A 21,611-nucleotide genomic window follows, 5' to 3' on the forward strand; every position below is an offset into this window, starting at 1 on the left:
ATGGCGAAACCCCGTCTCTACTAAAAAATACAAAAAGTAGCTGGGCATGGTGGCACGCGCCTGTAATCCCAGCTGCTACTCTTGAGGCTGAGGCTGGAGAATCGCTTGAACCTGGGAGGTGGAGGTTGCAGTGAGCAGAGATGGCACCACTGCACTCCAACCTGGGCAAAAGAGCAAGACTCTATCTCAAAAAAACAAATCAAAACAAATATAGTTGGCCTTCTGTATCTGTGAGTTCCATGTTCCTGGGTTCTGCCTTAGTGGATCCAACAATCAGTATGGAAAATATTGAAGGTGGAATTGAGTATGGAAAATATTGAAGGCAGGGATGGTTGAGTTTGTACTGAATATGCATGGACTTTTCCCCCTTGTCATTATTCCCCAAGTGATACAGTATAACAATTATTTACATAGCAATTTACATTGTATTAGGTATTATAAGTAATCTAGGCCGTGTGTCGGTGGCTCAGGCCTGTAATCCCAGCACTTTGGGAGGCCGAGGCAGGCGGATCACGAGTTCAAGAGATCGAGACTATCCTGGCCAACATTGTGAAACCCCGTCTCTACTAAAAATACAAAAATTAGCTGGCTATGGTGGCACACGCCTGTACTCCCAGCTACTAGGGAGGCTGAGGCAGGAGAATCGCTTGAACCTAGGAGGTGTAGGTTGCAGTGAGCCGAGATCGCGCTGCTGCACTCCAGTCTGGGTGACAGTGCGAGACTCCGTCTCAAAAAAAAAAAAAAGTAATCTAGAGATGATTTAAAGTATTTGAGAGGCTGTGTGTAGGTTATATGCAAATATGACACCATTTCAGGGACTTGAGCATCCATGGATTTTGATATGGGTTGGGGCGCATTCCTGGAACCAATCCCTCACAGATAGTGAGGGACAACTGTAATAGCCACAGCTATCATTCCTTGAAGTCTTACTAATGTGCCAGGCACAGTCCTAAGCACTTTATATACATTATCTACGTAATTATACAATCCCTCCCCGTTTTTTTTTTTTTAGCTCAAGTTGAGGCTCAGATAAGTCAGCCACTTGTCTGACAGCACTAAAAAATGAGATTCTGACAGTGCCCATAGCTAACATGCCATTCTGTCCCACCTACCCTTAAAGAATTGATCCCTAGTAGGGGAGCCACAACACAGCCATCAAAAGAGAAATCCATCCAATATGTACTGTTGGATATATACCCAGCAGGAGCCAGAGATTCAGTGAAGGAAGATTCTTAGGACTGAAAAGAACAGAAAAGGAAGGTGCCCCCAAATGGGGGAGGGGGGTGTGAGTCTTCTGTGAAAATGGAGGCCAGGAGTGGTGGTTCATACTTGTAATCCCAGCACTTTAGGAGGCCGAGGTGGGAAGATTGTTTGAGCCTTGGAGTTGAAGACCAGCCTGGGCAACATAGCGAGACCCGTTTTTCTATTTTTTTTTTTTAAAGAAAGAAAAGGCCAGGCATATGCTTGTAATTCAGCACTTTGGGAGGCTGAGGTGGGTGGATCACCTGAGTTCAGGAGTTCAAGGTCAGCCTGACCAATATGGTGAAACCATGTCTCTACTAAAAATACAAAAAAAAAAAAATTAGCCGGGTGTGGTAGTGAGTGCCTGTAGTCCCAGCTACTCGGGAGGCTGAGGCAGGAGAATTGCTTGAACCTGGGAGGTGGAGGTTGCAGTGAGCTGAGATCTCGCCACTGCACTCCAACCTAGGCAACAGAGTGAGACTCGGCCTCAAAAAAAAAAAAAAAAAAAAAGAAGAAGAAGAAGAAAAGAAAAATGGATAGGTTTAGAGATGAAAAGAAAGCAGAGTAGAGAGAGGATATGAAGAGAAAATAAAGAGGGGAGGAAAAGCATCCACTCTTGTTAAGGAGGGCCATGAGCCTAAAATGTTGACTCCTCCTATCCCCACTACCCTGTGTCTCCTCTAAAGAATCCACCAGCTGGTCTTGTTAGCTCTACTTCCAGAAACGTCCGTGATTCCTCCACTTCTCTCCATCTGCACTGCCACCTGCCTTCAGGCCACATCACCCCTCACCTGGTCTTCTTACTTCTTTTCTTTCTTTCTTTTTTTTTTTTTTTTGAGACAGGCTCTCACTCTATAGCCCAAGCTGGAGTGCAGTGGCGAGATCTTGGCTCTGCAACCTCTGCCTCCGGGATTCAAGCGATTCTCCTGCCTCAGCCTCCTGAGTAGCTGGGATTACAGGCACCCGCCACCATGCCCGGCTACTTTTTTTTTTTTTTTTTGGATTTTTAGTAGAGACGGGGTTTCACCATGTTGGCCAGGCTGGTCTCAAACTTCTGACCTCAAGTGATCCACCCGCCTCAGCCTCCCAAAGTGCTGGGATTACAGGCATGAGCTACTGCGCCCGGCCTGGTCTCCTTACTTCTTTTACACTTTTCATAGTTCATTCTCCACACAATAGCTAGAATCATCTTTTAAAACATAGATCATTTCACTCTTCTGTGAACATCTTTTTACTTAAAAAAAAAATTTTGGGGGGACAGGGTCTCACTCTGTCACCCAGGCTGGAGTATAGTGGTGTGATCACAGCTCACTGCAGCCTTGACCTTCCAGGATCAAGTGATCCTCCTGCCTCAGCCTCTCAAATAGCTGTACTACAGGCACATGTCACCATGCCTGGCTAATTTTTGTATTTGTGTAGAGGCGGGGTTTTGCTGTGTTGCCCAGGCTGATCTCAAACTCTTGGGCTCAAGTGATCTGCCTGCCTTGGCCTCCCAAAATGCTGGAATTACAGGAATGAGCCACTGTGCCATGACCTCTTTTTTTTTTTTTTTTTGAGACAGAGTCTCACTCTGTCACCCAGGCTGGAGTGCAGTGGCGCAATCTCGGCTCTCTGCAGGCTCGACCTCCTGGGCTCAAGTGATTCTTCCGCTCTAGCTTCCCGAGTAGCTGGGACTACAGAAGCATGCCACCACGCCCAGCTAATTTTTAAATTTTTTTGTAGAAATGGGATTTCCATATATTGCCCAGGCTGGTCTCAAACTCCTGGGCTCAAGCAATCTGCCCACCTCAGCCTCCCAAAGTGCTAGGATTACAGGCGTGAGCCACCATGCCCGGCCTGTGTGATCATCTTTTATCAGCTTCCTGCTGCACTTGGAATAGAATCAAAGCTCCTGGCCAGGCTGTTTGAGCTGGCCCCTGCCCACCTTCCTGACCTTATCTCCTACCAATCTCCCTTGCCCTCGTTACTTCCTTCAATTCACCCCGAGGACATGAGAAGCTTGTTTTCAGGGGCCTTTGCATTTGCTTTTTCTTTTGTCTGGAACACTCTGCTTCCAGGTCTCTGCATGGCTGTCCCCTTCCTACTCAGGTCTTCCTTAAATGTGTGCCCACAGAGAAGACTTCCTGACCACTAGGTCCAGCGCAGCCCCAGTGCCTTTCTGTCACTGCACCCTGATTCATGACGTTGTGTGTGCTCCTGCTATCACAGCCTGGCCCTCATCACTGTCTGCAATAATCGTACTCCTGTGTTTGCTTGTTTATTGTCCATTTTTCCCTCTAGAATGTAAACTGCATGAGGATAGAAATTTCTCTTGTTCATCACACCAGTGCCTACAGCTATGAGTGTTTGGCAATAGTAGGGATGTAGGCCGGGTGTGGTGGCTCACATCTGTAATCCCAGCACTTTGGGAGGCTTATAAGGTGGGTGGGTCACCTGAGGTCAGGAGTTCAAGACCAGCCTGGCCAACATGGTGAAACCCCGTCTCTACTAAAAATACAAAAATTAGCCAAGCGTTGTGGCACATGCCTGTAATCCCAGCTACTTGGGAGGCTGAGGCAGGAGAATCACTTGAACCTGGGATGCGGAGGCTGCAGTGAGCCAGAGTACACCATTGCACTCCAGCCTGGGAGGCACAGTGAGATTCCGTCTCAAAAAAAAAAAGTAGGGATATAATAAACAGTTATTGAGTGAATGGAGGGATGGGCTGAATTGATTGGAACAAAGAGTTCTGGTGAAACAAAGAAGTGAGTGGGTCAGGGAGACATATTTGAAAGGATTAGGGCGAGATTGAGGTGAGGTGGGCCTCAGATGGTAGCTGAAAGCCTCTAACTGTTTTCTGTGGGCAGTAGAGAGCTGCTGAAAGTTGTTGATTTCCTGAAAGCAAGGTTTGCTTAATACTAGTGTGTAGGATGGATTAGAGGAGTGCCTAGGGGTAGGCAGTTAGGAGAGTTAGGAGACTACTGGAAATCCATAGGCCGGGTGTGGTGGCTCATGTCTGTAATCCCAGCACTTTGGGAGGCTGAGGCAGGAGGACTGCTCGAGGCCAGGAGTTTGAGACCAGCATGGGCAACATGAGAAAACCCCATCTCTACAAAAAAATACAAAAATTAGTTGGGCATGGTGGCATGCCTGTTGTCCCAGCTACTCGGGTGGCTGAAGTTGGGGGATCACTTGAGCCTGGGAAGCGGAGGTTGCAGTGAGCTGAGATCATGCTATTGCACTCCAGCCTGGGTGACAGAGTGAAACCCTGTCTCAAAAAAAAAAAAAAAAAAAAAAAAATCCAGGCAAGTGAAGAATGATTTATTTTTAAACTAAATAAATTGCCTGCTTTGACCATATAACAACAATAATGATAACGACTCTTGCTTGCACAGAACTTACTGTGTGTTTTTGTTTGAGTGTTTGAGTGTCTGAGTAGACCAGCTGGAATGTGTCCCAGTGGTGGTGGGGTCTGAATTGAAATGAGATGGGGTGGTACCAAGGTATCAGCTTGTCCTTATTCTGAAATTACGGTTTGTGGGTAATATCATTTGAGTCAGTCTTTAAAAGGTTAACAGGCTGGGCGTGGTGACTCATGCCTATAATCCCAGCACTTTGGGAGGTCAAGGCGGGACAGATCATTTGAGGTCAGGAGTTCGAGACCAGCCTGGCCAACATGGTGAAACCCTGTCTGTACAAAAAATACAAAAATTGGCCAGGCTTGGTGGCACACTCTTATAGTCCCAGCTACTCAGGAGGCTAAGGCAGGAGAATTGCTTGAATCCAGGAGGCGGAGGTTGTAGTGAGCTGAGATGGCGCCACTGCACTCCAGCCTGGGTGACAGAGCGATCATTTGTCTCAAAAAAAAAAAAAGGGGGGTTAACAATCAGGTCATAGGATTTAAGAATTTAAAGTCTTAGCTCCAGAAGAGACCCAGTCCAAGTCTTTTCATTTTACAGATAAGGAAAAATGAGATTAGAGAAGGGAAGTGACTTGCCCAAGGTCAAGAGGCCAAAAGTGTTTCTTCTGTTTTCCAGAGATATTTCTTCTCTCTGAGTTAGGTTTCTTCATTTCGAAAATACAGAGTCAAATCCTTCTGCACAGGGCTAAATTAATATTATTATTTTATTTTAATTTTTTTTTTTAGACACAGGGTCTTGCTCTGTCACCCAGGTTGGAGTGCAGTCATGTGATTATAGCTCACTGCAGCCTCGAACTCCTGGGCTCAAGTGCTCCATCTGCCTCAGCCTCCCAAGTAGCTAGATTACCTGCCATCCCACCCAGCAGGATCAAATAAATATTATGAGAGGCCTTTATAAATATTATGACACCTCATCTCAATCAAAACCATAAAATGAGGGGCTCACTTGATATTTTATTATTATTTGGCCATAGCTGCGAGCTTGGCTTTAGCTCAGGCCCAGATTCATTCTTTTCTTTTCTTTTTTTTTTGAGACGGAGTTTCGCTCTTGTTGCCCAGGCTGGAGCGCAATTGCCCAATCTCCGCTCACCACAACCTCCACCTCCCAGGTTCAAGCGATTCTCCTGCCTCGGCCTCCCGAATAGCTGGGACTACAGGCATGTGCCACCACGCCCGGCTAATTTTTGTATTTTTAGTAGAGATGGGGTTTCTCCATGTTGATCAGGCTGGTCTCGAACTCCCAACCTCAGGTGATCCGCCCGCCTCGGCCTCCCAAAGTGCTGGGATTACAGGCGTGAGCCACTGCGCCCGGCCTGATTCATTCTTTCAACAAATTTTAGTGCCTACGAATGCAGGTCTTGTTCTCAGCACTGGAAATGCTACAGTGAATCCAGCATTCACAAGCCCTATCCTAACAGTGCTTTCATGCTAGTGAAATGTGTGTGTGTGTGTCTGTGTCTGTGTCTGTGTTTGTGTTCTGTGATGATAGGTGCTATGGAGAAAAATCAAGCAGGAAAGAGGAGCAGGGACTTGCCAGAGGCAGGGGAGGGACTGGAATTGTAAATAGGGGGATCCAGGAGGGACTCTCAGAAAAAGTGACGCAGATTCTGGGCTGCACCTTAGCACAGTGAAGGGGGACACTTTTTAAAGAACTATACTTGTTCTTGGGTAGCAGAGTCCTGAGGGAAGACTGACTTTGCTAGGATTCGGGGTGATGACCGTCGACACTGGCTTGGAGCAGAGGCTACAGAAATGAAATCTTCCCTATCAGCACTCTTCTAGACCATCAGATGTTAACTTTCTGCTTCCTTCTTGAAAACCAAACCCAAGCTAAAGACTTCAGGGGGTAGCAGAAATAATTTGCACTACGACTCATCTTCAAGTCTTCTTTGGGAAAGGGCAGGGACTGACATTGGTCCATTCCTACTATATGCCAAGTGCAGTGCTGGCCTCCTCCATACACCGTCCCATTTTATCCTCCAGGCAGCCCTGCAAGGGGGTATTTTTGTCCCCATTTTGGAGATGAGGTAACTGAGGCTCAGTGTGCGCATGTGACTTGCCCCACGTCGGCACAGCTGGTCAAAGATAGATCAGAGATTCAAATGCCGGGCCAGTTGGCCTGGCACCATATCCTGTACTCTCTCTGTGGCATCACAGCCTCTTCCGCAGATGGAGAGCAGGAGTGGCTTGAAAGCCACTACTGAAACCTTTCCCAAAAGGCAATTTAGAAATTGTATAGTCCAACTCCTTCATTTCACAATGCAAATGAGATAACGTGTGAATGCCTGCCTAAACACCTTATAAGCATACAATGAATGTTGGTTTTCTGTCTTTGCAGGTTAGAGATGTGGTTGCTTGCCTGAGATCGCACAGCAGGTTAGCAGCAAAGCTTGTATTCTAAAGCAGCCTCTGGACCTCCAGATCCCTCTGTCCTAGATTCACTACCCTCGGAGCCACTTCATGTTTAGTGGTCAAAGACTGTATTGTCAATGACAAAGAGAAAGAGGAAGAACTGTCAGGCTACAGAGGGCCAGATGCCCAGTTCTCAAGACCCCATGGGCAGGAGGGGAACAAGAAGAAAGTGGGAAGCTCTGCCCTACTCCTCCCCATCCCCAGATGGGGAGGGATGGAGAGGCAAGAGAAAACCTCTCTAGATGGCCTTTGTTCACACTTACAGCCAAGCGGTATTTATTCAGCACCGTTGGGTGCTAGACACCGAGGATCAGGAACTGCATGCAGGAGCAAAACTCATCTCAGCCCTTGGTGCTGGCAGGTTAGTTAGTGGGAGGGACAGAGGAGCAAACAGATTGTGAAACCTACCACTGGGGTCAGCAGAAGGATGAGTGATGTGTTCAAGGTTGCAGGACTGTCAGGTGATTCCTGTGATGTCTTCACACCGTTGTTTCTGGCAGAAATTGCCTAAAAATATTCACTCCTTCGTCAATGAGCTGTGATCATGTAAGGTTTCTATAAAAATGATGATTATGGCCAGGCAAGGTGGTTCATGCCTGTAATCCCAGCACTTTGGGAGGCTGAGGAGGGAAAATTGCTTGAGCCCAGGAGTTTGAGACCAGCCTGGGCAACATAGTGACACTTCATCTCCACAAAAAAGAAAAAAATTAGCTGAGTGTGATGGCGCGAGCACACCTGTAGGCTGAGGTCACTTGAGCTGGGAAGATTGAGGCTGCAGTGAGCCGTGATCATGCCACTGCACTCCAGCCTGGGTGATAGAGAAAGATCTGGGCTCAACAAAACAAAATTACTTTTTTAAAAAAGGATAATTATGGCCGAACGCGGTGGCTCAAGCCTGTAATCCCAGCATTTTGAGAGGCTGAGACGGGCGGATCACTTGAGTTCAGGAATTTGAGACCAGCCTGGGCCAACATGGTGAAACCCTGTCTCTACTAAAAATACAAAAATTAGCCAGTCGTGGTGGCGGGCACCTGTAATCCCAGCTACTTGGGAGGCTGAGGCAGGAGACTCACTTGAACCTGGGAGGCGGAGGTTGCAGTGAGTTGAGATCACGTCACTGTACTCCAGCCTGGACAACACAGTGAGACCTGTTTAACACACACACACACACACACACACACACACACACACACACACACACACACGGGGTCTGCTGAAATCTCAGTGAAGCTGCACAGACACGCATCTGTTACAGTGAATTTGCTTTTCCAAGTTCTTTGCTTTAAGAGGCAGGGTGGCGGTGGGTACTGAGAGCTGGCGTGGGGCTGGCTGTCTTGGTTTCACATTCACTGGAGTAACCCTAATAACAATAATAATGGCAATTATTATTAGTATTACTATTTTCTTTTAGAGTCGGAGTTTCGCTATCGTTGCCCAGGCTGGAGTGCAATGGCGTGATCTCCACTCACTGCAACCTCCGCCTCCCGGGTTCAAGCGATTCTCCTGCCTCAGCCTCCCGAGTAGCTGGGATTACAGGCATGCGCCACCATGCCCGGCTAATTTTATATTTTTAGTAGAGACGGGGTTTCTCCATGTTGGTCAGGCTGGTCTCGAACTCCCGACCTCAGGTGATCCACCCGCCTCGGCCTCCCAAAGTGCTGGGCTTACAGGCGTGAGCCACCCGCTCGGCTAATAATGGCAATTATTATAGGTGGGAGGGGGTGGGGGGAAGACAGAGAGAGGGAGGGGGACAGGCTAAGGGTGGGGGTGGGCCAAGTCAGGAGAAGGCGTGGTTTGCATTTAGTTTTCCCAGCAACCAATTAGGTCACTCCATTATTCTTGCTTTTTCACAGCTGAAAAGACACAGGCTCAGAGAACTCCAAGGCCACACAGCTGGTGAAAATTCTAATTTAAAGCCATGTAGGCTCCATTTCTCCATCTATGTGTGTGTGTGGGGGGGGGGGCGGGGTGTGACACGGGGACTTAATTCCTTCTCTTTTAATGAGAAAATGCCACGTGGCGGAGGTGGGGAGGGTGGGAGGAGTCCCGGCGATTTCCGTGTCTAGGACTGAAGCCTCCCTACTTTTGGAGCTGCCTGGCTTTGTTTGGAAAAGTCACCAGGAGGGCCTTTCTGAGAACTCAGGGCAAATCCCCGCCCATTGTCTTTGAGGACGAGGGTGGGGTCACCCCAATCTCGCAGTTGCAGCGGACTGCGCTAGGAGTTCTTTTTAGTGATGTGAATTGGGTGTCTTTTTAGCAGACCTTCACCCTTGGGGAGTCAGGGAGAAATAGTATTCCTGGAGGGAGATTCCAACTGGACAGTGGTTCCTCCCTAGGAGGTTACTGGAGATTAAATAATGGAGACTAAGATTCAATAATGGAGACTAAGAAGATACCGTGGGCCCTTGTGACTGCCTCCTCTGAGCCATCACGTTTTCATTCACTCCCTCACTCATTCCCTTGTGTCAGGAGCTCTGCTAGGCTTTGGGAAGGCACTGGTGAGTTACCCCCAGCTGAATCTTGGAGGAATTAAAAGGGCAGCACATTAGCCCAGAATAGAGCAGCTAGTAAGGATTGGAACTGACTGTTGAACCTGTGAAGCCACCTGGGGTCTTGATGTCATGGTAGTGCCCTCATGGAGGAAAAACATTTTCAGAAGAATAAAGGGCTCTGAATCATATTAATATTTGGATATTTTAAAATCAGAAAGATCAAGTGGGAGATAAGAGAAATTTACAGTTACAGACTGGAACCAGGGAATGCAGCCTAGAGAGGTGGTTGGCTGGTTATCTTTTGAATCTAAATTAAGTTCTCTTTTAAATTTGAATTTAAATGCCTTTAGGTGGGGGTTGAAAACTTCCTTGGTTCTCACCACTGTCTGTTGATTCACATACAGTATTTATTGGCCATCTGCCTAAAAAAAAATGGTGAATAAGTTGACATTCATTTCCATTCATTCCACATAGGTGTATGTACACACACACACACACAAACACACACACACATATAGTTGGTTGGTTGTTTTGTTTTGCTGGGGCTCAAGTGATTCTCCCACCTCGGACTCCCGAATAGCAGGATAGCAGGAACTACAAGCGTGTGCAACCATACTTGACTAATTTTTTTTTTTTGTGAGACAGAGTCTTACTCTGTCGGTCAGGCTGGAGTGCAGTGGCGCAGTCTTGGCTCACTGCAACCTCTGCCTCCTGGGTTCAAGCAATTCTCTTGCCTCGGCCTCCCAAGTAGCTGGGACTATAGGCGCATGCCACCACACCTGGCTAATTTTTGGATTGTTTGGTAGAGACAGGGTTTCACCATGTTGGCCAGGCTGAGGGTTTTTTTTTTTAAGTTTTTCATTTTTGGAGACGGAGTCTTGCTTTGTTGCCCACCCAGGCTGGAGTGCAGTGGCACAATTTTAGCTCACGGCAACCTCTACCTCCTGAGTTCAAGTGATTCTCCTGCTTCAGCCTCCTGAATAGCTGGGACTACTGGTATGTGCCATCACGCCCGACTAATTTTTGTATTTTTAGTAGAGACGGGGTTTCACCATGTTGGTCAGGCTGGTCTCCAACTCCTGACCTCAGGTGATCCGCCCGCCTCGGCCTCCCAAAGTGTTGGCATTACAGGCGTGAGCCACTGCTCCCGGCCTTTTTTTTTTTTAGTAGAGACAGATTTTCACTATCTTGCCCAGGCAGGTCTCAAACTCCTGAGCTCAAGTGGTTCTCCTGCCTTAGTCTTCTGAAGTGGTAGGATTAAAGATGTAAGCCACTGAACCCAGTCTTTTTTTTTTTTTTTTTTTTTTTTGAGACTGGGTCTCTCGCTCTGTGGCCTAGGCTGGAGTATAGTCATTATGATCAAGGCTTACTGTAGCCTCGACCTCCTGAGCTCGAGCAATCCTCATGCCTCAGCCTCCCGAGTAGCTGGGACTATAGGCAGACACCCCTACGCCTGGCTAATTTTTGTATTTTTTTATTTTGTAGAGACAGGGTCTCACTACGTTGCCCAGGTGGGTCTTCAACTCCTGAGCTGAAGCGATTTTCCCTCCTCAGCCCCAAAGTGCTGGAATAACAGGCAGTGAGCCACCCTGCCTGGCCCCCTATATGTATATTGAGAACTGCTATGTGCTGGCACTTTTCTAGGTCTTGGGAATACAGCAATGAAGAAAACAGACAACAATGGAACTTAAAATCCATTGTGGTTGGGGAGAGATCAATAGAGAAGATACATGCTAGATGGTGATAAGTGCTAAGGAGGAAAAGTGGGAAAGGGGTTAAAGAGTATTGGAGGAGGAGCAGTTAGAAGGGTTGGCCATTGTAGGCTTCACTGGGAAGATTAATATTTAGTAAATACCTGAATTAGGTGCGAGAGCTGGCCATGTGGCTGTCTGAGGCAAAAGCATTCTAAGCATAGAAAACAACAAATGTGGCGGCTAGGCGCGGTGGCTCACACCTGCAGCCCAGAACTTTGGGAGGTCGAGGTGGGTGGATCACCTGAGGTCAGGAGTTTGAGACCAGCCTGGCCAACATGGCGAAACCCCGTCTCTACCAAAAATACAAAAATTAGCCAGGCATGGTGGTGTATGCCTGTAATCCCAGCTACTGGGAGGCTGAGGCAGAATTGCTTGAACCTGGGAAGCAGAGGTTGCAGTGAGCCGAGATGGCACCACTGCACTCTATCCTGGGTGACAAAGTGAGATTGTGCCTTAAAAAAAGAGAGAGAGAGAAGGGAGGGAAAAGAAAACAACAAATGCAAAGGCCTTAAAGTGAGACCAGGTGTGTTAGAGGAACCCCATGGACATGCCACATACTATTCTAAGTTTTCTCACTCCTAGGAGGGAGATACTATTATTGTTCCCATTTACAGATGGGCAAATTGTGACCAGAGATGATAAGAAACTTGCTCCAGGTTGCATAAGAGGCAGAGGTAGCTGCTGAGGAAGGCAGAGTTTGTGCTCTTAAACACTAAGCTATTAAATCATTAAATAAATGATTTCATTAGCCTGGGTAGACCCAGGTACCAAAGATTTATACCTCCAGCTCCCAGTGAACTTTCCAAGCCCTTAAGGAAAACCCCGGGTGTGGTTGTAGGGGAGGGAGTGACTCAGGCCTTGGCTGGCTTCCTGCTGAGTCACTACTCCTGGGCCCAGGAGGGAGGCTCAATCCTCATCTCTTCGCAGTGGCAGGTTCCTGCCTTTTTGGGGGAAATGTCTGGCGCCAGGTCTTAACCGCACACCATCGGTGGATGAATTTGTCTGACTTTCCTAACAGCTTCGTTGTGAAATTGTGGGTGCGCTCCATTTCCTAATGTGACCCTTCAGCCAGCAAGAGGGAACTTTCTGCCCAGCCTAGCACTTCATTCTCCAAGGTGTCCTCGATGGACAGGTTCTGCCCCTTGACAGGCTGGCTGGCTTCCATCTCAGGTCAAACAGCTGTGTGCTTGGCACGCTCAAGACAAAGTTGAGCAAGATGCCAAGGGAGCCACACGCATTATCCTGGGCCTGGTGATGCTCACTCCAGACACATTCACAGATACAGCAAAGAAGAAATGGGTAAGGACTGTGATGTGGATGCCAAGTGCCATGCACCAAGTTGGTTAATACTTCAAACCAAGAGTCAGCCAGGCATGGTGGTGTGTGCCTGTAGTCCCAGCTACTTGGGAGGCTGAGGCAGGAGGATCACTTGAGCCCCGGAGGTAGATGCTGCAGTGAGCTTTGATTGTGCCACTGCACTCCAGCCTGGGTGACAGAGAGAGACTGTCTCTAAAAACAACAAACAGGCTGGGAGCGGTGGCTCACACCTGTAATCCTAGCACTTTGGGAGGCCGAGGCAGGTGGATCACCTGAGGTCAGGAGTTTGAGACCAGCCTGGCCCACATCATAAAACCCTGTCTCTAATAAAAATACAAAAAATTAGCCAGACTTGGTGTTGGGCGCCTGTAATCCCAGCTACTCGGGAGGCTGAGGCAGGAGAATCACTTGAACCTGGGAGGCGGAGGTTGCAGTGAGCCGAGATCGCTCCATTGCACTCCAGGCTGGGCAACAAGAGTGAAACTCCATCTCAGAAAACAAACAAACAAACAACCAGTGATTCATGAATAATAATAATAGTTAACATATAGTGAGTATTTAAAGTGTGCCAGGCAGTATTCTAAGCACGTAACATGTTTTATTTCATTTTTGTAAACCTCACAATAACTTGGAGGAACTTCCTATTTTATAGATAAGAAAACGGAGGCACAGAGACATCACAGCTAGGAAAGGGCACAGAGGACAGCAGGGACAAAATCCTGGAGTCAGGAAAGTCTGGGCTGGATTTAGGGAGCTGCAAGGAGCTGCTGTAAGTGGGTGGAGGAGGAGTTACAGTGAGAGATAAGGCTGGAGAGGACAGTAGGGCCAGAGTCAGAATTTGGACTGGAGTTCATGGCTGGTAGGGAGCCACTGAGGACTTTTGAACATGTCTTTCCTTGGTGCTTCTGAGTTGCATCTTTTTTTCTTTTTCTTTTTTTTGAGACGGAGTTTTGCTCTTGTTGCCCAGGCTGGAATGCGATGGCACGATCTTGGTTCACTGCAACCTCCACCTCCCGGGTTCAAGCAATTCTCCTACCTCAGCCTCTGGAGTAGATGAGGTTACAGGCGCTCACCACCACACCTGGTTAATTTTTGGTATTTTAAGTAGAGAACGGGGTTTCACCATGTTGGTCAGGCTGGTCTCCAACTCCTGACCTCAGGTGATCTGCCCGCCTTGGCCTCCCAAAGTGCTGGGATTACAGATGTGAGCCACCGAGCCTGGCCAGAGCTGCATCTTTGTTCATTTGGTTTAGCGCCACCTTGGAGAACAAAGAGTGAGGATTGAACAAAAACAGTAGAAAAAACTCAGGCTCTTTGTGTGATGAGGAGCCTGTCACTTGCTCACCCAGAATTTTCTGTATTTGTTGTGCTCCTGCTCTGGAATATCCTCTAGATAAGAAATGTATGTTCCCGGAAATGTTCCAACAGGTGTTTTCCACAGCTGGACCATCCTCTCCTTTCGAGCCATGCCCACCTACCCTGATTCAACTCACTTTTCCTGACTTTCACTCCTTGTTCCCCAACTCTAATGTGCACATTAGTTGTTTCTGGCTAGCTAGCATTTCCACTTCTGTAAAACTTCTCCTCATCCTTGTTACAAGATCTGGTGGCCAGGTGCCATGGCTTACTCCTGTAATCCTAGCACTTTGGGAGGCCAAGGGGGACGGATCACTTGAGCTCAGGAGTTTGAGACCAGCCTGGTCAGCATGGTGAAACCCCATCTCTACTAAAAATACAAAAAATTAGCCGGGCATGATGGTGCGCGCCTGTAATCCCAGCTACTTGGGAGGCTGAGGCAGAAGAATCACTTGAACTTGGGATGATTCAACCTGCGGATGTTGCAGTGAGCTGAGATCGGGCCAGTGCACTCCTGTCTGGGCGACAAAGCGAGACTCAGTCTCAAAAAAACAAAAACAAAAACAAGATCTGGTGAGGTTGCCTCACAATATTTTCTTGTGGTAGACACCATTAGTGACCTACCCAATGCAGTCTCCCTCCTTCCTGGCTCAGGAAATACCAGTTTTGCTGGGCACAGTGGCTCATGCCTATAATCCTAGCACTCTGGGAGGCCAAGGCAGGAGGATTGCTTGAGTTCAGGAGTTTGAGACCAGCTGGGTAATGTAGTGATACACCATCTCTACAAAAAATACAAAAATTAGCTGGGTGTGGTGGTGCGCGCCTGTAGTCCCAGCTCCTTGGGAAGCTGAGGTAGGAGGATTGCTTGAGCCTGGGCGGATGAGGCTGCAGTAAGCTGAGATTGTGCCACTACACTCCAGCCTGGGTGACAGAGCAAGACCCATCTCAAAAAAAAAAAGAAAGAAAGAAAGAAAGAAAGAAAAAGAGGCTGGACGTGGTGGCTCATGCCTGTAATCCCAGAACTGTGGGAGGCCAAGGCAGGTGGATTGCCTGAGGTCAGGAGTTTGAGACCAGCCTGGCCAACATAGTGAAACCCCGTCTCTACTAAAAATACAAAAAATTAACTGGGTGTGGTGGTGGGTGCCTGTAAACCCAGCTACTCAGGAGGCTCAGACAGGAGAATCGCTTGAACCCACAAGGTAGAGGTTACAGTGAGCCGAGATCACACCATTGCACTTCAGCCTGGGCAACAAAAGCGAAACTCTGTCTTAAAAAAAAAAAAAAAAAAAAAAAAAAAAGCCGGGCGCGGTGACTCACGCCTGTAATCCCAACACTTTAGGAGGCCAAGGCGGGCAGATCGCAAGGTCAGGAGTTCAAGACCTGCCTGGCCAATATGGTGAAACCCTGTCTTTAATAAAAATACAAAAAAATTAGCCGTGTGTGGTGGCATGCACCTGTAGTGCCAGCTACTTGGGAGGCTGAGGCAGGAGAATTGCTTGAACCCGGGAGGTGGAGGTTGCAGTCAGCCGAGATGGTGCCACTGCACTCCACCCTAGGCGACAGAGAAAGACTCTGACTCAAAAAAAAAAAAAAAAAGGAAAAAGAAAAAGAAACACCAGTTTCAGTTTCGTGGCCAGCCCTGGGTGGTAGATTCTTACATGCCTAAGCCAATAATGACGCTCTGTTTCCCACTTCCCCAGCCCCCCTTGCAGCTTTACCAATAAGACCTAAGGGGAGGTCTACTCTGGGGCTTCTGAGAAAGCTTTTGATTTTTTGACAAGAGGAAACATTTCCTACTTCCTCCCTTGGGACCACCCTGCCTCTCTGCCCCAAACTTAAACATAAGGGCTAGAACTCTGTGCAACTGGAAGGGTATGATCTGAGGGTTGTCAGCAGCAGTCATTTGCTAAAAGCCTGCTTGCTGAGGGGCTGCTACGGGCAAACACAGAGAGAAAAACAACAGGCCAGAGGGGGAGAAAAGTTGAGGCCTTATTTGAATGTCTAGATCCATCCATATCTAAAACCAGCATCATCCCTGAAATTCCAAGTGATGTGAGCAATGCAATGCCTTCCTTTTTCCCTCAGGATTATTTGAGATGGATTTCCATTATTTGCAACCAAAGGAGTCTGACCTATACTCCCTAGGCTCAGGTTTCCTGTCTTTTTTTTTTTGAAATGGAGTCTCACGCTGTCACCCAGGATGGAGTGCAATGGCATGATCTTGGCTCACTACAACCTCTGCCTCCTGGGTTCAAGGGATTCTCCTGCCTCAGCCTCCTGAGTAGCTGGGATTACAGGCATGCACCACCATGCCCAGCTAATTTTTGTATATTTAGTAGAGATGGGGTTTCACCATGTTGGCCAGGCTGGTCTTGAACTTCTGACCTCAAGTGATCTGCCCACCTTGGTCTCCCAAAGTGTTGGGATTACAGATGTGAGCCACCGCACCCGGCCAGGTTTCCTGTCTTTACAGTGAATGTCTAGTAGGGCTTCAGCCTTCCTCTGCCTGTGACACCTGGTGACTTTGACCGAGTGTTACAATGTGTGAGGGCTGCAGGTGCGCGTCCATCCCCCTGCCTATTCTCATCCTCAGCAGTTCCGCCCCCGAAGATAACTCTACTCTAGCCTCTTGGTCAAAAAGTGTCTCAAGGGAATGAGGATTGAAGAAACCTAGGATGTCACCACATACCAAGGCCACTTCAACTCCACAATGTCCTCAGAATGCCATTGCAACACTCTTGTTTGAGAAACACTGGGGTTAAGACATGGGAGTCAAAGAAAAGCAAGCAGGCTGGGTGCGGCGGCTCACGCATGTAATCCCAGCACTTTGGGAGGCCGAGGTCGATGGATCACCTGAGGTCGGGAGTTCGAGACCAGCCTGACCAACATGGAGAAACCCTGTCTCTACTCAAAATACAAAATTAGCTGGGCGTGGTGGTGGGCGCCTGTAATCCTAGCTACTCGGGAGGCTGAGGCAGGAGAATCGCTTGAACCTGGGAGACGGAGGTTGCAATGAGCCGAGATCGGGCCACTGCACTCCAGCCTGGGCAGCAAGAGTGAAACTCCGTCTCAAAAACAAAAAACAAAAAGCAAAAAAACAAAGAAAAGCAAGCAGAGTAGGCAGGGGCAGAGCGGCGTGGAGTTCATCTGATCTGTGAAGTACATTAGAGATTTCTCACTTGTTTCTTCATTCATGCAACACATTTTTGTTGCGCATGTTTTTTTTTTCTTTTTTTTTTGAGATGGAGTTTTGCTCTTGTTGCCCAGGCTGGAGTGCAGTGGTGTGATCTCAGTTCACTGCAACCTCTGCCTCCTGGGTTCAAGTGATTCTCCTGCCTCAGCCTCCCGAGTAGCTGAGATTACAGGCATGTGCCACCACTCCTGGCTAATTTTGTATTTTGAGTAGAGACAGGGTTTCTCCATGTTGGTCAGGCTGGTCTTGAACTCCTAATGTCATGTGATCTGCCCGCCTCAGCCTCCCAAAGTGCTGGGATTACAGGTGAGAGCCACCACACCCAGCCTTGAGCACCTACTTTGTGCCTGACTCTAAAATGTCCCTGCCTTCTCAACGTAGGTTGGGAAATGTGAAATACCTTATATGAAGGGTAGAAAAGAAAGAAACTGGTGAGTTTCTCTCTTCCCTTGGGCTTCTCAAAGAGAAAATGGCCTCAAAACAATTGAAAACTAGATTTGCAATGAGAGAGCCTTACTGTTGATTAAGACTCGGGATGTTAAAATGAGGTGTCACATTGGGATTTAGGATCTCCTTTCTAAATGGAAATCTTTAGGAATGAAGACCTAAACCATTGACTCCTTTTAAAATTAATTAATTAATTATTTTTTCATAGAGATGGCAGGGGGGTGGGGGGTGGGGGGTGGCGGTCTCACCAAGTTGCCCAGACTGGTCTCGAACTCCTGGGTTCAAGAGATCCTCTCATCTTGGCCTCCCAAAGTGCTGGGATTGCAGGCATGAGCCACTGCACCCAGCTCCATTGACTCATTTTTAATGGAAAGCTTCATGAGTAATGCATAAAGAAAGGGCTTCTGGGTGAACAGACTTAGGTTCAAATCCTGATTCCTTTCTTGAAATATGTGATTTTTGACAAATTCCTAAACCTCTCTGGGTCTGTTTCCTTTGGGTTGTGATGAGCATTGTATGAAGATGATAAGACCACCTAACATTTATCTTCTGGTTCTGAGCTAAGTTCTATATGTGTATCAACTCATTAATCCTCATTTAATCACAACAAATGGGGAAACCGAGGCATAGAAAGATTAAAATACCTTGCTGAGCAGTTGCAGAGCCTGACTTTGAATGTTGGTCTCTGGAGTCTTTGCTTGTAGCCAGATCATTTACTGACACTCCCACTGATAAAGCGGGGGGATGCCTCACTCATGTGATACTGTTCATCTATCTCTACTGAGAGATGATGGTGAAGTGGTAAAATGCACGGATTTTGGAGCTGGACTGCCATGGTTCCAATTCTAGGCTTATCTTCCGTAATGTGTAACCTGAGTTATTTTGAGCAAGTTATGTAACTTCTCTACTCCTGTCTTGACTTTCCCTTGTGTAAAGTGGAGCTGATAATAAACTTCTTAGGGTTTTGGGGAGGATTGAGTGAGTCAATATGATAAACTTAGAATCGTATCTGGTCCATAGTAAGTGCTCAATAAATGCTGCCTACTGTTAACTTTCGAGTCTCGTCACTTCCTTAGGGAGGCCTCTCCTCCTAATCTTAATTATGTTTTCCTTCCCTGTTATTCACTCTCGTAGCACTTAGGACAATTTGCAATCATATATAAGAGTAAACATCGGGCTGGGCACCATGGCTCACACCTGTAATCCCAGCATTTTGGGAGGCCAAGGCCTCCCAAATCTCAGATCACGAGGTCAGGAGTTCAAGACCAGCCTGACCAATGGTGAAACCCTGTCTCTACTAAAAATACAAAAATTACCCAAGCATGGTGGCACATGCCTGTAATCCCAGCTACTCCAGCTGAGGCAGGAGAATCTCTTGAACCTGGGAGGCAGAGGTTGCAGTGAGCGGAGATCATGCCACTGCCCTCCAGTTTGGGTGACAGAGCAAGACCGTGTCTCAAAAAAAAAAAAAAAAAAAAGAGTAACCATCTCATGGGCTTATTATGATGAATAAATAATAAGATGTGAGTAAAGCATGAATTTTGTGTATATTTGGCTCTCAATATATGTGAATTTTTTTTGTTATTATTATTTACACTGGATTCCTTCCTGGGTTAAAATCACTGACATGTCTACATTATTGGCAATTTCACCAAATCTAAGGCACCATCAATTGTAACCTACACCCTTACTGATGCGTTTCTAAGAAATAGGAAAACCGTGACACAAAGCTTTCCCATCACTTAAAAATTTCATTTTATGCATATTAAAAGAGCTCTTTTAAGTCTTATTTAGACATAGATTTTTATCGACTATCAAGCTGCTTGTTTCCTTACCCTTTTTAGTATATAATAATTTTTCATTTCAGTGCTGAATCAGTGTGGAATGTTTTTGAAGACATTGTAAGTAGTGATTAAACTCAATACCTATAGTGCTAACAGTGCACACAGCTTAAGGGAAAGGTTGGCAAGAGGAAGAGTTGTGACCAGCCCTGTGCACGTGTGGGCAGTGACTATGACCTGGCTGTCAGCAATTCATCAACAATTTGAGATGCCATCACTTGCACATCAATTTACACATCGGTGTAAAAATGTGAAAAAAAAGGTGTTGCAAATTGATGAAATTTAATATTAAAATGTGAATGTCCCCCCTAACAGTTGTATGGTTCCCTATATGGTTTTCCCAAAGCCACCATGGTTTAAATAAAACCTATTAGGTTTTTCCTATTTATTTATTTATGAGACAGAGTCTTGCTCTGTCATACAGGCTGGAGTGCAGTGGCATGATCTCTATTCACTGCAACCTCCGCCACCCAGGTTCAAAGGATTCTACTACCTCAGCCTCCCTGGTAGCTGGGACCACAGACGTGTGCTACCATGACCGGCTGATTTTTGTATTTTTAGTAGAGACGGTGTTTCACCATGTTGGCCAGGCTGGTTTCAAACTCCTGACCTCAAGTGATCTGCCTGCCTGGGCCTCCCAAAGTGCTGAGATTACAGGTGTGAGCTACCGCGCCCTGCAGGTTTTCCTTTTTAGTAGTGACTTCATCTGTCACATTGAACTTTATGTTGGTTAAAGCAATTCTAACTGCTGTAACAGCTAAAACCTCATCAGTTAATGCTATAAAGGTTTGTTTCTTGCTCATGTAGAGTCCAAATCAGATGTCTCTTATTGACAACAAGAGCTGTACTCCACGTTGCCGTTCAGGGATCCAGACACAGAGATTCTGTCAGTTTCACCAGGTCATTTGAAGGGTTGCCCTGGGCCCATAAGCATAAAAGGTTTTATGGGCTAAGCCTGGAAATAGCTTGCAAAGCACACTTTTGCTCACATTTCACTGCTAGAGCTTGAGCACAGGGCAGCATCTATCTGCAAGGGAGTCTGGGAAATGTAGTCTAGCTGGGTCACCAGGAAGAAAAGGAAATGGATTTGGTAATCAGGTAGCAATATCTGCTCTAAGCTTTATAGAGAATTAAAGGACTGTGATGGGCATTCTGTATAAATTAATTCATTTTGCCCTCACAATAACACTTCAAGTGGGCATTGTCCTCACTTTACAGATAAAGAAACTGAAACTCAAAGAGGTGAAAGACTTGCCCAAGGTCATATAGCTTTACAGTCATGGAGCTAGAGTTAAAGTCTTATCTGCCTATGTTCTTCTCATTACACCCATTTGCCTCTTTGAATTATACAAGAAAGATGGAGGGAGAGAGAAACTACATATCTATAGTCCTTTTCCTATGAGGCTGATCCACATATAGGGTTTCCTTTGGTTTTCTCCAAGGTCATGGATTTTACCCATAATCAGTCGTCTCTTACCAGTGGATAGGGGAGGACCAAACTACAGCATTTGGTACCCACAAATAGCCTGGGTTTCACTTGAGTGGGTCTGGCTAGGATGTGTCCTTTTTCTGGGTACATGACATTTGGGAACAGTCATTTGAACAATGGACTTATATCTATAGATATACATGTAGATATAGATGTAGATGAGATATAGATAAAAAATACTTAGAAGTAAAAACAACCAAACACAATGTGTAGACGATGATTGGATCCTAGTTTGAAAAAAAAATACAGCAGTAAAAAAATATTTTGGGGGTGGGTGCAGTGACTTACGCCTGTTATCCCACCACTTTGGGAGGCTGAGGTGGACCGATCACTTGAGCTCAGGAGTTTGAGACCAGTCAAGGCAACACAGTGAAACCCGCCTCCATAAAAAATACAAAAATTAGATGGGTGTGGTGGCATGTACCTGTAGTTCCAGCTACTTGGGAGGCTGAGGTAAGAGGATGCCTTGAGCCTGGGAGGCAGAGGTTGCAGTGAGCTGAGAATGTGCCACTGCACTTAAGCCTGGGCAACAGAGCCAGACCCTGTTTCAATAAATAAATAAATATATAAAAAATTATATATATATAGTTATATATAAACATCAAAGAGTTAATTATATATAATACATAAAAGGTTATATATAATTGTATATTTACATATATGTTATA

General features: G+C 46.6%; 6 annotated features.

The window, feature by feature from the left end:
* Window positions 9,008–9,302: an enhancer, noted in NCBI's record as "tiled region #4641; HepG2 Activating non-DNase unmatched - State 10:DNaseD, and K562 Activating DNase matched - State 5:Enh". NCBI's record gives its function as "activates a minimal TATA promoter and a strong SV40 promoter by Sharpr-MPRA in HepG2 and K562 cells {active_cell/tissue: HepG2 | K562}" and the evidence as "EXISTENCE:reporter gene assay evidence [ECO:0000049][PMID:27701403]".
* Window positions 11,567–11,732: a silencer, noted in NCBI's record as "fragment chr11:47968068-47968233 (GRCh37/hg19 assembly coordinates)". NCBI's record gives its function as "represses an EF-1alpha promoter that drives an FKBP-Casp9 reporter gene in an ReSE screen in phorbol 12-myristate 13-acetate-treated (for megakaryocytic differentiation) K562 erythroleukemia cells {active_cell/tissue: K562(+PMA)}" and the evidence as "EXISTENCE:reporter gene assay evidence [ECO:0000049][PMID:32094911]".
* Window positions 11,567–12,767: a biological region, named in NCBI's record as "P300/CBP strongly-dependent group 1 enhancer GRCh37_chr11:47968069-47969268".
* Window positions 11,568–12,767: an enhancer, noted in NCBI's record as "P300/CBP strongly-dependent group 1 enhancer chr11:47968069-47969268 (GRCh37/hg19 assembly coordinates)". NCBI's record gives its function as "activates an origin of replication core promoter dependent on BRD2, BRD4, P300/CBP, MED14 and CDK7 cofactors, with strong dependence on P300/CBP, by STARR-seq in HCT116 cells {active_cell/tissue: HCT116}" and the evidence as "EXISTENCE:reporter gene assay evidence [ECO:0000049][PMID:35650434]".
* Window positions 20,368–20,662: an enhancer, noted in NCBI's record as "tiled region #13015; HepG2 Activating non-DNase unmatched - State 24:Quies". NCBI's record gives its function as "activates a minimal TATA promoter and a strong SV40 promoter by Sharpr-MPRA in HepG2 cells {active_cell/tissue: HepG2}" and the evidence as "EXISTENCE:reporter gene assay evidence [ECO:0000049][PMID:27701403]".
* Window positions 20,407–20,496: an enhancer, noted in NCBI's record as "active region_4710". NCBI's record gives its function as "activates an Ori minimal core promoter by ATAC-STARR-seq in GM12878 lymphoblastoid cells {active_cell/tissue: GM12878}" and the evidence as "EXISTENCE:reporter gene assay evidence [ECO:0000049][PMID:35858748]".

This window comes from Homo sapiens, chromosome 11 (assembly GCF_000001405.40).
Source record: "Homo sapiens chromosome 11, GRCh38.p14 Primary Assembly".
Lineage (NCBI taxonomy): Eukaryota > Metazoa > Chordata > Mammalia > Primates > Hominidae > Homo > Homo sapiens.